The sequence below is a fragment of the Homo sapiens genome, chromosome 17, assembly GCF_000001405.40.
Source record: "Homo sapiens chromosome 17, GRCh38.p14 Primary Assembly".
Taxonomy (NCBI): domain Eukaryota; kingdom Metazoa; phylum Chordata; class Mammalia; order Primates; family Hominidae; genus Homo; species Homo sapiens.
The window spans coordinates 71,488,932-71,502,705 of NC_000017.11; the positions used below are offsets into that span (position 1 = coordinate 71,488,932).

At 37.0% G+C, this 13,774-nt stretch overlaps 3 annotated features.

Moving 5' to 3' along the window:
- Window positions 3,445-5,321: an enhancer, noted in NCBI's record as "F8 fragment". NCBI's record gives its function as "enhancer in Sertoli cells in vitro" and the evidence as "EXISTENCE:reporter gene assay evidence [ECO:0000049][PMID:25604083]".
- Window positions 3,445-6,306: a biological region, named in NCBI's record as "SOX9 testis enhancer F8".
- Window positions 4,839-6,306: a conserved region, noted in NCBI's record as "conserved region; CNE2". NCBI's record gives the evidence for it as "COORDINATES:sequence alignment evidence [ECO:0000200][PMID:25604083]".

Below are 13,774 nucleotides of genomic sequence, written 5' to 3' on the forward strand. Positions count from 1 at the left end.
CAACAAGTGGAGGTTTAATTACAATTCAGTTATTAGAAACAAAATTGTTTTTGTACCTGGATCTATCTTATTGTGGGCAATTAGCTTAGAACCATAAATAGTAAGCTTAGTTGAAAAGTTAAACATTAACCACAGTGTGTCATTGCCTCACTCTAACTGTGTTGCAGACCTACAAAGCACAAGACCCCATACCTAAGGGTGTCCATTTAATCCTTACAACATCTCCCCCTCTCCTAAAATAGGCAGTTATTTCAGTTTTGCAGATGGGAAAACAGAGGCTCATTCCATGAGAAATTTGCAGAGCCAAGATTAAAAATGGGATTTGTGTAACTTCAATTTTTTCTTTTCTTTTCTTTTCTTTTTTTTTTTTTGAGACAGAGTCTTGTGGTGTTGCTCAGGTTTGAGTGCACTGACTCACTGCAGCCTCCACCTCCTGGGCTTAAGCAGTCCTCCCACCTCAGCCTCCTGAGTAGCTGGCACTACAGGTGCACACCACCACATCTGTCTAATATTTGTAATTTTTGTAGAGACAAGGTTTTTCTATGTAGCCCACACTGGTCTGGAACTCCTGGGCTCAAGCAATCCACCTGCCTTGGCCTCCCAAAGTGCTGGGATTATAGGTGTGAGCCACCACACCTGGCTTTTGTGTGACTTCAAGTTGATAAGCTCTGTAGGTAACATGGCAAGGATAGATTAGAACAGGGAACTATTTCAGGTACTAAACCAGTTAGGAAATTATTGCATGTCCCAATGATGACATTTTCTTTCTTTCTTTCTTTCTCTTCTCTTGAAGAATGATTCAAAAGTTTTCCAACTGTTTGCCTGCTACAACTTCTTACACTCACAAAAAAAAATGATCAATAGAGTTGACAGTATTTGTTCTGAATGACTCTCAGTTAAGGTGTTTCCTATGTACTACTGATATATCAATAACCCCTGAAACATAGCTAATCAAATAACTATAGGTGTTTGATTGAGAGCTGTGGTTTTGCATTTCAGAAATCAGCAATAGATGCATTTTCACTTGAATCTAATTAGGTGGACCAACTTTTATTTTTCTTACTAAAACCATCTCAATCTCCATGGTTTAGTTATTTATTTTCTTCTTTGTTTCAAGATCATAAATGGAAGCCTGAGGAGCCAAAACCCAAGGATGTGCTGGGAACTCCACTGAGAGGTGATCTCTGACCACTGGATCACTTTCTTCTAGAGGTAAAGAGTAGATGGCTGGGCACTGTGGCTCATGCCTGTAATCCCAGCACTTTGGGAGGCCGAGGCTGATGGATCACTTGAGGTCAGGAGTTCGAGACCCGTCTGGCCAACATAGTGAAACCCCATCTCTACTAAAAATACAAAAAAATTTTAGCTGGGCATTGTGGCAGGCACCTGTAATCCCAGCTACTTGGGAGGCTGAGGCAGGAGAATCGCTTTAACTCAGGAGGCAGAGGTTGCAGTGAGCCAAGATGGCACTACTGCACTCCAGCCTGGGCAACAGAACGAGACTCCGTCTCAAAAAAAAAGGTCAATTTAAGTAATTTAATATGGGCCTAATCCTAGATGTGGAAAGTAGATTTTGATAGAATGAAAGATCTCATCCCTATTTTCATTCTTATAGTATAATCATATTTGAGTTTGTAATTCCATTCACTGAAAAAAAAAATCAGTTGGCAAAAATGCCTATAGAAGAGAACACAAGCATTTCTGAGTTCAAAGTTCAGATTTCAAGATTTAGCAAATATTTCTGATCACACATAAAGTTGTCCATGGTTTCTGAAACGTGCTCATCTTGCTCTACTGCGTAAGACCCTCCTGGATTTCCCTCTACATTCAGGGTGAAGTTGCTACTTTTGCATCTTAGCCAACAGGCTATGTACCCCCACCAGTGTCTACTCTCCAGCCACAGGTCTCCTTGAGACTACGGTTGTCTCTTTCTTTCTAGCCATGATGATGCATTTGTAGTTGTGTAGATATATATTCCTCTGATAATGCTCATCCTACTTTATTTTCTTGAGATGGTCTCCCTCCTCCCAGTTTTGTCTTTCTGGTGACATACACAGGTGTTTTTGAGACTCACCTCAAGTGCCACCTACTGATGGGTAAAACCAAGACTGGACCTCAGGAAAGCCCTTAATGGTTTTTATTTGTTTATTTATTTATTTGTTTTTTTCTGACAAACATCCTATGCTCACCCAGCCCCAAACTAAGAAGAGCACATTTCTTCTGGCCAGCTATTACTGTACTTAAACATTCTTCCATCAGAGTCCTTCCAATACTGGTATGTTTACATCCATGTTTCGCTCGTAAATTTATAAACCCCTTATTGACAGAGGCCCATTTTGATTTTTGTATCTTGGGCAAATATCAGAATGTTAGGGGTATATTACATACTTAATACATATCTGTTGAACAAATACATAGATTTCCTTTAGTTCAAAGACTTTTTACTTCTGCTCAACTTTACAAAACACACATTAAATCAGTATCCTGACTGATTTAAGAAGGAAAAACAAATGCCAGCATGGATCGCAGAAATCCTAACCTGTGATCACTGAAGGAACTGATTTTTCAGGATTAGTTGATACTAATTGTATGGTTTGAAGGATACATGGGATTTAGTAACTAAATATTGTTATCTTGATTCGAGTTATATTTGAAACTGAGTCAACTTGTGCTTTTACTAGCACAGCTAATAAAGACAGCATTATTATAGTAACTCTATTTTCTGCACAAATGCAAACTTTTTTTGTATTTTAACTAAACTGTGTGATGTTTTATGCTTAAGAAGTTACCTAGTCCAATATTTGGGGGAAAAACAGATACTTGGCAAATATATCTTGAATTATTAATGAATAAATGAAAATAGAAGAAATTCAATTCACTTCTCTGATTTTATAGATGACAGAATTGAAGCCCAGGTAGTTGCAGAACAATGACAAATAATCATCAATCATCACGGCTCCTGGGTCGATATCTACTTTTCTGTATATATAGTAGATATTATAAACTGTAAGGATTTTAGATGGATAGAGCACACAGTCAGGGACATAAAACCTCATTGCAGGATAAGAACCACTGATCATAAACCCAATACGTACCTTACATTTTACTGTGTGCTATGGATAAAGACAAGAAATGAGTAAGCCAGAATGTCCCATGAGGTGAGTACAGTCTCATAGAGGAAGTATTTATAGTTCAGTATGATGTATGAAGTGTTAGGGGGCACAAATGAGAAAGCAACTCCACCTGAGGTAAGAGAGGAGAGAAGGGAAAGCTACAGGGAAGAGGTGACATTGGATATGTCTCCTGAAGTAGGCATGTTCCAATCTCAAGAGATGAGGAATGACATTTCAGGCTGAAGACACAATTGCAGCTCATCAGAAGTGATAAACCCATATAACAAAGTGGTTCCCTCTGCAGTAACAGAACCAAAGCTGACCTTAGCTGCGGGACATTATTACCCAAATGAAGAAAAATGACAAGTTGCTTTTCAAGCCATCCCAGAGTGGGAAGCCAACATGCCAGGAGCTATAAAGAGCCTCAGAAGAATACGAGAAAAAGAAAAAGAGTTGTACCCTTTCCTGTGGCAAAAGCACTACAAGCCAACACACCTTGGTTCTGCCAGATTGATTTTTGCATAGGTTGTCTTTGTAATTTTTTTGTATATTAATTTTTTTTTGAGACAGTGTCTTGCTCTGTCGCCAAAGCTGGAGTGCAGTGGTACGATCTCCACTCACTGCAACCTCCGCCTCCTGGCTTCAAGTGATTCTCCTGTCTTAGCCTCCCAAGTAGCTGGGACTACAGGTGGGTGCCACCACGCCTGGCTAATATTTTGGCTTTGTATTTTTAGTAGAGACGGGGTTTCATCATGTTAGCAGGTGGTCTTGGTCTCCTGACCTCGTGATCTGCCCACCTTGGCCTCCCAAGTGCTGGGATTATAGGCATGAGCCACTGTACCCGGCCTGTATATTAATATTTTAATACACAGCAAGTATGTTTTTTATTCCAAGGGATTAAAAAAGGTGATTTTAGTGATGTCAGTACATTCTGATGCCAAAATTTATGTTTCACTGCAGCCTTACACACGTCACACTGATGTGGGTTGCTCTCTAGACTTGACAATATCTAATGTTAGAAGTTTAAATATCTTGAGTTGAGAAAGGCATCAAAGAATGATATTGTGTATTGACTCTAGGGAAGTAAACTCTTGGATTCCAATCTCACCAATGCCTCCATCTCTAGAACTCCATCCTTCACTAAAAGTGAGTGTTGCTAATAAACTGTCTCAATGAACACTTATTGAAAAAGAGTTCACCCCCCTGCTTCACCCCACCCTGCTCAGTTTCCTAATAACCACGAGGAAGTATGAGGTTACACAGTCTGAGGGATAGGAGGAGAAAACAATAGGTTATGATTAAAATAAAGATTCAAATGGAAATTAAAATAAAGGGAACAGACATCTGAGACATGTAAGAAAATGACTTAGATTTCTGGAGGAAAGAGAGAGTTATTTAAAAAACATGCAGGAGATTAGCAAGAAGATTCCACAGGTTTTCCATTCATCATCTTCATCATCATCATCATCATCATCATCATCAACATCATCATCATCAACATGGAGCACTGCACAGTGTTTCAAGCCTCATAAGTAGATTCCCAAAGCATCGGTCACGACCCACTACTTTTAGCTGTGCAACCATTCAATTCCTTAGGCTTTCTAAGCCTCAGTTTCCTCATCTATAAAATGGGGAAAATAATAGTACCTAACTCAACAGGTTTTAGGAGAATTAAATAAGATGATGCACATAAACTTTAGCATGATATATGCCCACAGAACAGACTCTCAGTAAATTCTAGTCATCATCAACACCACAAAAAAAATTTAAAAACTCAAACCTGACTACCAATTTTGTGTAGTACTAGGCAATCCAAGGAGAGATTCATCATCTATCTCAGATCAGACATCTCGTGAACAGTCATTTAGTAGGTGGATGGATCTGAACGATGAACTGAACTGCTTTTTCATCATGTGGAAATTGCCTTCAGATAAACAGGGATGATTGCATGCCCCAAAGTGTTTCTTAAATTTTCTACAAAATGCCAAAGAAAGGCACTTTTTTTTCTTAGTAAAACATTATAGCCTTGGTCACTTTGAGTAATTAAAGAGGTTGTTTTTGTTTTGTCCCCTCTACCTTGCTTGAATTAAAAAAAAAAAAAAACTCTAATACACCATTCTTCTTGGGCAAACTCCAGCCAGACAGATATTTGCCATTCCATTATTGTTTTAAAGTGTTAGCCCCAGACACATAAGCATTGTTGGAATGCAATGGAAAAAAAAAAAGTTTTAAATCTCAAATGGGGTAATAAACTGCAGCCAGAAGCTAATTGTACTGAAACTTGAGCTTTTATAACATGTTACTACTGTAGTGGGACCACTCAGCACTACTTTGGTGGGGTTGTTGTGTAATTGGTAGTAGATTACGTTGCAGACATATTTAAAAAAAAAAAAAAGTCAAATCAGACATTTCTGCTTATTACTGTAGACCTCAGCATAATTCTCAAAGAAATCAATGCATTTCATCCATTAAACTATTGATGGGGGGTATTAATTCATATAATGTTTAACTACTCACTGTGGACGTTCTCTCTGCCAACTTTCTTCCACCCAAGAAGTCCTGAAATGTTGCTGCTCCTGTCAAAAGAAATGAATCATTAATAAGAACCAGCAAGGCCACTGGCAAGCTAGAAGCTGGGCCATGATATATACAGGCTTCACATTCTTTTAACTGAGTGCTGAACTGTATGTGTAAAAGGAGAAAACAGCCCAGTAGGGTTTTACTAAGAGTCTAAAAGCAATACAAGGAAGGGTACATCCATCAAATCTATTTATTGAATATTTAGGGGATCTGAGAACACTTTTTTAGAATATATATTTTTTAGACAGTCTAGAGTCAATAGGAATGAGGACTTGTAAGTAATACTCCAACTAAACTCTGCACCCACAGGAGGGCAGGGAAAAGGACCATACTTGTGTGTCTAAGTCTTAAAGAAATTAGGTCAAGTCTAGGTGAGAGTAGGCCTACTCCCAAAAAAGTGTTGTGATAAAAATGGAAGAAATGCCTCCTTTTCCAAGTCCTCATCTTTGTGCTGTGTTCATTTATTTGTATTGTTATTTTTTTCTTTCTCTCTCCTTCTGCCCCTTTTTATATTGAGACCACCTGCTTTTATGGAACTACATATCTACTTGCGGCCACAAAATGAAGAAATGTGGATATCATAAAAGAGACTTACATGGTCACAAAATCATGAGTGTTGAAGTTAGATTTGAATCTAAAGCCTAGTTCTGCCATCTCTTCTTAAAAATTATTTTACCCCTTGAGTTTTAATGAATTACCTCATAAAATGTGGATAATAATACAGATGCTCTTCAACTTACGATGGGGTTCTGTCCTGATAAATGTATTGTAAGTTGAAAATATTTCAAGTCGAGAGTGCATTTAATATGCCTAACCTACTAAACACCACAGTTTAGCCTAGCCTAGCTTAAATGTGCTTAGAACACTTAAATTAGCCTATAATTGGGCAACCTCATGTAAAACAAAGCCTACTTTATAATAAAGTGTTGACTATCTCATGTGATGTATTGAATACTGTACTGAAACTGAAAAACAGAATGGTTGTAGGGTACTGAAAGCACAGTTTCTACTGGATGCAAATTGCATTCACACCATTGTAAAGTCCAAAACTCTTAAGTCAGGGACCACCTGTACTGACCTCATGAAGATTTGATAAAGAATAAAAAATAATATATGAAATTCTGAGTTGAGTTACTGGCACAGAAGATGACAGTCAGTGTTGGGTAAGTTATGACTATGATAATGAAGAAGGAAATAAAGTTTACTTGTCAATTGGGATGGTCATTTTAGTGAACCAAAGTCCCAAAGCAGATTTGAGATCTAGATCACTAATCACTATCACATCCTTAAAATTCACTCTGTCCTATATGTGTGTACTTTAGCTACCTGCTGGGCATTTCCTAGACTAATGTTTAAAAATGATGGAAGATGGCCAGGCGCCGTGGCTCACGCCTGTAATTCCAGCATTTTGGGAAGCCGAGGCGGGCGGATCATTTGCAGTCAAGAATTCAAGACCAGCCTGGCCAACATGGTGAAACCCCATCTCCACTAAGAATACAAAAAAAAAAAAAAAAAATAGCTGGGTATGATGGTGCATGCCTGTAATCCCAGATACTTAGGAGACTGAGGCAGGAGAATTGCTTGAACCCGGGAGACAGAGGTTGCAGTGAGTCAAGATGACGCCACTGCACTCCAGCCTGGGCAACAGAGTGAGACTCTGTCCCAAATGAGGAAGAGGGGAGTAGGCTCGATCTAACGTCTAGCTGAGAAAGCCAATCCCATTTACGAAGCCTGGAAATAACGTTTGTAAAGCGTAAATTATCACCATATTTTAACAGGGCTTAAAATATTCTGTCAAGCAGGCTAGAACAATTCCTTCCATCTAATTTTAAATATATTCCATAGTAAAGAAATATGCTGTGGTTAGACAAATGTAGCATTGAGCTTATTACTTTGTATATGTTTTCTCTGTTTGAAAACATAGTCCTTATCCTTAGACTTATATCTGAAGAATGTTTAGAATTTTATAAAACAAGACCATAATCTCGACTGATCTTCACTGTGATCCTGTGAGGTCCTTATTATTATTGTCATCACCAATTTACAGCTTAAGCTCAAAGTGGATTAAGCAACTTGCCCAGTGATCACATCATTGGTGTATTGCAGAAACACAACTACAACCATGATCTGCAGCTACTAAGTCCAGAAGTATTTCACTAGAGGATTAGAAGTGGTTTTATACTTTCAGTGCTGAAGGCCACAGATCAACTTGAGTCAGCAACTTTTAATCCAAACCTCTTAGGGAAGTATATATTTACTCTGAAAATGTTTCATATATAAGTGTCTCCTGCTTTCGAGTATCTTTAGGCTCTAATCTATTTTTAAACAGACATAATATAACTGATTTCTTAGGTAAGTATTGTTCATCACAAGGAAGACTGTACAAGTATTCCAAATATATTGTCATTCATTCGTTCATACAAAAATACCGAAAATAAGCCTTTACTATGTCCTAAACACTATTCTAGGTTCTATACACACCCAGTTAAAAAAAATAAAAATAAAAATCAGACAAAAGTCGCTGCTCTTTTGCAGCTCACAATCTAACTTAGGGGAAGATGAAATATATAAATAAGTACCATATACAATTTATTTAGTGGTATAAAGTTCTATAGAAGAAAACAAAGTGAGAAATAGAATTAGGGATTGCTGGAGTGCTACTTTAAATAGCGTTATTTGGGAAGACCTCACTGATAAAACTATATATGACCAGAAACCTAGAAAAATAGCTAAGTAGAGTGACCTATTAGGAGGCTTCTGCAGTATTTTGGGTGAGAGATGATGATGGCTTGGAACAAAGGAGGGGTCAGTTTAGATAGAGAGAAGTGGTAGAATATAAATACATTTGGAAGACAGAGCCAACAGGATTCGTTAACAAATTAAATATGGAGTTTGAGAAAAAGGCAGAATATTTGGCCTAAACTCTGATAGGTGAGTGTGAACCTATTAAGGTAGTGAAGACAGAGATAGGACTAGGTTTGGGAGGGAAAGTTAGGTGTTCAGTATCAGACATACTACATTTTAGGTGTCAATTGGATACCCTATGGAAGAGTCTTATATGCAGGCAGATAATTCTGGAGTTTAGAGAAGAGGTCCTGGTTGGAGATTAAAAAAAACAGAGAACTGTCTGTGTATGCAACACATTTAAAGCCATGAAATTTAATGACTTCTAGGGAGTGTGAATAGATAAAGACAGGGCTCACAGATGGACCCTGGGACATTCATAAGCTTAGAAATTGGAAAGAAGTAGAGCAACCAGAAAAAAAGACTGAGATAAAGACCAGAAGCCTTTTGCTTAAATACGTAGAGGATATTTTTGAATCAGAGATTATGTGTAGAACCCTTAAACTTTACCTCTGATCCTTAATTTTATTTATTCTTCCGTATCATGCCCTTTAAAAACAGTGACATAATTCCACATTCCCTTATCTTTACCTTTCTTTTTATTAATTAACTGTTTATTTATTTTGAGACAGGGTCTCACTCTGTCATCAAGGCTGGAATGGAGTGGCGTGATTTCAGCTCATTGCAACCTCCACCTCCTGGGCTCAAGCAATCCTCCCACCTCGACCTCCCAAGTAGATGGGACCATAGGTGCACGCCACCACACCCAACCAATTTTTTGTATTTTTGGTAAACACGGGGTTTTGCCATGTTGCCCAGGCTGGTCTCCAACTCCTGAGCTCAAGTGGTCCACCTACCTCGGCCTCACAAAGTGCTAGGATTACAGGCATGAGCCACCACGCCGCGCCTGGCCTCTACCTTTCCTAAGTGATCTCTCCTTTTGCCTGAAATCTCTTGATACTGTAATGAGAATTCCTTGAAGGCATGGAAGAGATTTCACTGAGCTCTGTCTACTCCCCCCAGGTCCTGCTCAAGGTGTTTGTAAGATGCATGAGAGTGTACAAATCAACTGCTTAAATTCAGAGATTACATCTGCATTATGACTTTATGAATCCTGCTCCTAACGTCAAATGTGAGTGGAAAAAGTTTGCCAGTTCTTCAAAAAGCTAAAATTTTCATAAGACCCAGAAATTTTACTGCTAGGAATATATACTAAAGAATTGAATGCTGGCCCTCAAAAAATACTTGTATACAAATGTTTATACTGGTACTGTTCACAATAACCAAAGGTAGAAGATGCCAAAAAATCATAATGAGAAAAAGAAGAGTCTCTTCAATAAACAGTGTTGGGAAATTAGGTATCTACATGCAGAAGAATAACATTAGATTTTCATCTCACACCACACACAAAACTCAACATAGATTAAAGCTTTAGATGTAAGATCTGAAACTATAAAACTACCAGATGAAAACAGGGGAAAAGCTTCATGACATTGGGCTAGGCAATGGTTTTTTGGATATGACTCCAAAAGCACAGGCAACAAAAGCACAAATAGACAATGGAATTACACAAAACTAAAAAGCTTCTGCACAGCCAAAGGAACAACAGAATTAAGAGACAATCTTGAAGGGAAGAAAATATTTGCAAACCATACATCTGATAAGAAGTTAATGCCCAAAACATACAAAGGAACTCAAGCAACTCAAGAAAACAACCCAGTTAAAAACCAGATAAAGAACCTAAACAGACATTTTCCAAAAGAAGACAAATAACCAACAGGCATATGAAAAAAATACTCAACATCACTAATCATTAGGGAAAGGCAAATTAAAACTACAATGAGATAACACCTGACACATGTTAGAATGGCTGTTACCAAAAAGACAAATGGTAAGAAGTGTTAGCGAGGATGTGGAGAAAAGGGAACACTTGCACACTGTAGGTGGTAATGTAAATTAGTGCAGCGATTATGGAAAACAGTATGGTCATTTCTCAGTAAATTAGAAACAGAGCTACCATATGATTCAACAATCTCACTACTGGCTATACATTAAAAAATGAAATCAGTTTGTCAGAGAGATATCTGCATTGCCATGTTCATTACAGCATCATTTACAATGGCCAAGATATGGAACCAACCTAAATGACTGTCAGTAGATGAATGGGTAAAGAAAAAGTGCTATATACACAGTGGAATACTAGGCAGCCTTAAAAAAAAATTCCTGTCGTTTATGACAACATGGATGAGCCCAGAGGGCATTAAGTTGAGTGAAATAAGCCAGGCACAGAAAGACAGATACCACATGATCTAACTTATATATGAAACCTAAAAATGTTGTGAACTCATAGAAGCAGAGGATAGAATGGTGGTTATGAGGGGCTTGGAGGGTGGTGGTGGGAGGCATTGGGAAGACGTTGGTCAAAGGATACAAAATTTCAGTTAGAAAAGAGGGGTAAGTTTAAGAGATCTATTGTACAACATGATGACTATAATTAATAGCAAAGTATTGTATACTCTAAAGTTGCTAAAAGAGTAGATTTTAAGTGTGCCCACCACAAAAGAAATCTGAAGTATATGAATAATGGTTATGTGAATTAGCTTCATATAGTCATTCCACAATGTACACGTATGTCAAAACATCATGGTGTACACCATATGCACAATATTTGTCAATTTTAAAAAGATTAATTTAAAAGAGTTTTTGTATTATTCATATTCCACAAATGTAAAAATTTTTATTTAACACTTACAAAATATACATAACAATTACATTTTATGTAAAACATAAAAAATGCAAAATGTGTTTTAATGATTTAGCAATGGGGATAATACGCATGCATATGTACATAAACATATAGATATCATCTGTTAAACTACCTGTGTATGCGTACCGTATATATGCCTATGTTTATATATATGTATATCATAAGCATATGCGTCATACATGCATATATACAGGTGTGCCTATATATGCACATGTATATCTATATTTTTTAACACATTTATATGTGTATATGCATATTTACACATACATATATTGTATGCATATTCATATATATGAATGCCTATATCCCCATAAATATGTATACATATTTTTTTTGAACCATTTGAAAATAAGTTATAAACATATTACCCCTTTACTCATGTACATGGTATGCATTTCCTATAATCAGGGACATTCTATTGTAATACCACATACAATCATTAAAATCAGCATATTAGTATCAATAGTACTAAAACCTAATCTATACCTCTTTTCATATTTCATTACTTGTACTAATATGCTTTTTAGTAAAATAAGAAACATTGAGTTAAAACTTATGAAATGTAATAGAATGGGTAGCTGAAAATTTTTGGACTTTCTCTTGTATCTAGGTCGTTGTATTTTCAAACACTGAGATAATATATTATGCAACATGCCTGGGGTGGATGAAGAATGGATTCAGGAATTAAATTCATTCAGTTACTTAATCCCAAATGTGGGTGCTTTTACATTGTGAAACTATTAATCACTCTAAGAATAGAAGGAGGGCCAAAAAAACGATTGTAAAGTCCTGAATATCTTTCAGCCTAAAAAGTGTTCTCTGTTGACTTTTTCTTTGATCATGAAAATCTACAAGCAACCATAAAATTTTACTGGAGTTATAATTATTTGAAACTTTCATGGTGTCTCTAAAACACTTTATAATAGCCTCAAGTATCATAAGTTGATATTATTTCTACTTTTCCACTTATAATGAAAATAAGAATTGTGACTTTTATTCATCATTTCCACATGAAAAAACAGTAGAAAAAAATGGTGTGTTTATTCACCTTGAAAATGCCCAGCTGGGGTTTATTAACCACACTTCAGCTACTCATCTTTGTGATGCTCAAATATAGATAAGATAAAATCACAAAGACCTCCCAGATGACAAGTCCAGCAAGGTCATTAGATCAGAGGGAAGCTGAGTATTCTGTGACTGTTTTATAGTCAACAACAAAGTATTTATGTTCACGATGTAAGTTATTTGAGTATTTTAGCAAATTGAAACCTACAGCCAGTTTTACACCACCATCTATGATCTGATTGGCATATTCTCTCAATAGGGGGTACCAATACTGCAAACTCATGTTCACAAAAGCCTTACATAATGAGATTTTCTACAGACACACACACACACACACACACACACACACACACACAGAGATATACATGCACAAATATATTCAATCCTTAAATAAGGCTTACTCATTTATCTATCTATCTATCTATCTATCTATCTATCTATCTATCTATCTATCTATCTATCTATGTGTCCATCTTTATAGTCTGCTCTAAGCAACAGAAATGAATCATACCCTTTGTAAAGACAGGGACCCAAAAGAGCGTACTGTGTCTTTCACCATATGGCACTCACAGTCTAGTTGGGATCACTGGACTGTAAAGAGAGGAACCACAAGCCAACATCAATAGTTCTTTAACACAGATCTGAACTGAGTGTCATGGGGTCATGAAGAAGAGCCTGGGTGAAACTGCCTGGATTTATCTAGAAAAGTGTCACAGAGAAGGGAATATCTGGACTGTGAAATCTTGATGGCTGAACAAGAGTATCTTAGGGAAAAAGTATTGGGAGGGACATTTATAAACAGAAGAAAATATATATATATATATATACACACACACACACACTCAGAGATATACATACACACATCTGTATGTAAATATATAGATGTGTAGTATGTGTGTATGTAATATATAGGTAAAGGTGATGGTATAGGTAAAAGATAATGGTGGCTAGTCCATACAAACAAAATACATTTTAGGGGTTCAGGAAAACTACAGGATCCAGAGTACAAGATAAATGAAATCAAATTCTTTCTGATTTCATGGCTTCCTCTGGGAAGCGGTGGGTAACAGCCACAACCCCTTCAAAAGGGAATTTTAAAGAATATTGGATGCATCAGCTGCCATACTCTGTATCACATCCCTCATTACACTGGTCAAAGTTGATTGTAAAACAAATGGACATCACACCCCAAAATGATTAAGCACTAAATGGGAAGGTGGTCCACTAATTGGCCTAGCAAAGCAAATTGACCCATCCTACATGATGATGGGTGAATCACTTTGAGTCTTTCAGCTTCTTTTTTGTTCTGCTGTCAGTCTTTCATCCCTCTGTACAGAGTCTGGTCAGAGACAAAACATAAACCAGAAGCGATGTGATGGAGAGATAAGAGTGATATATTTTATAG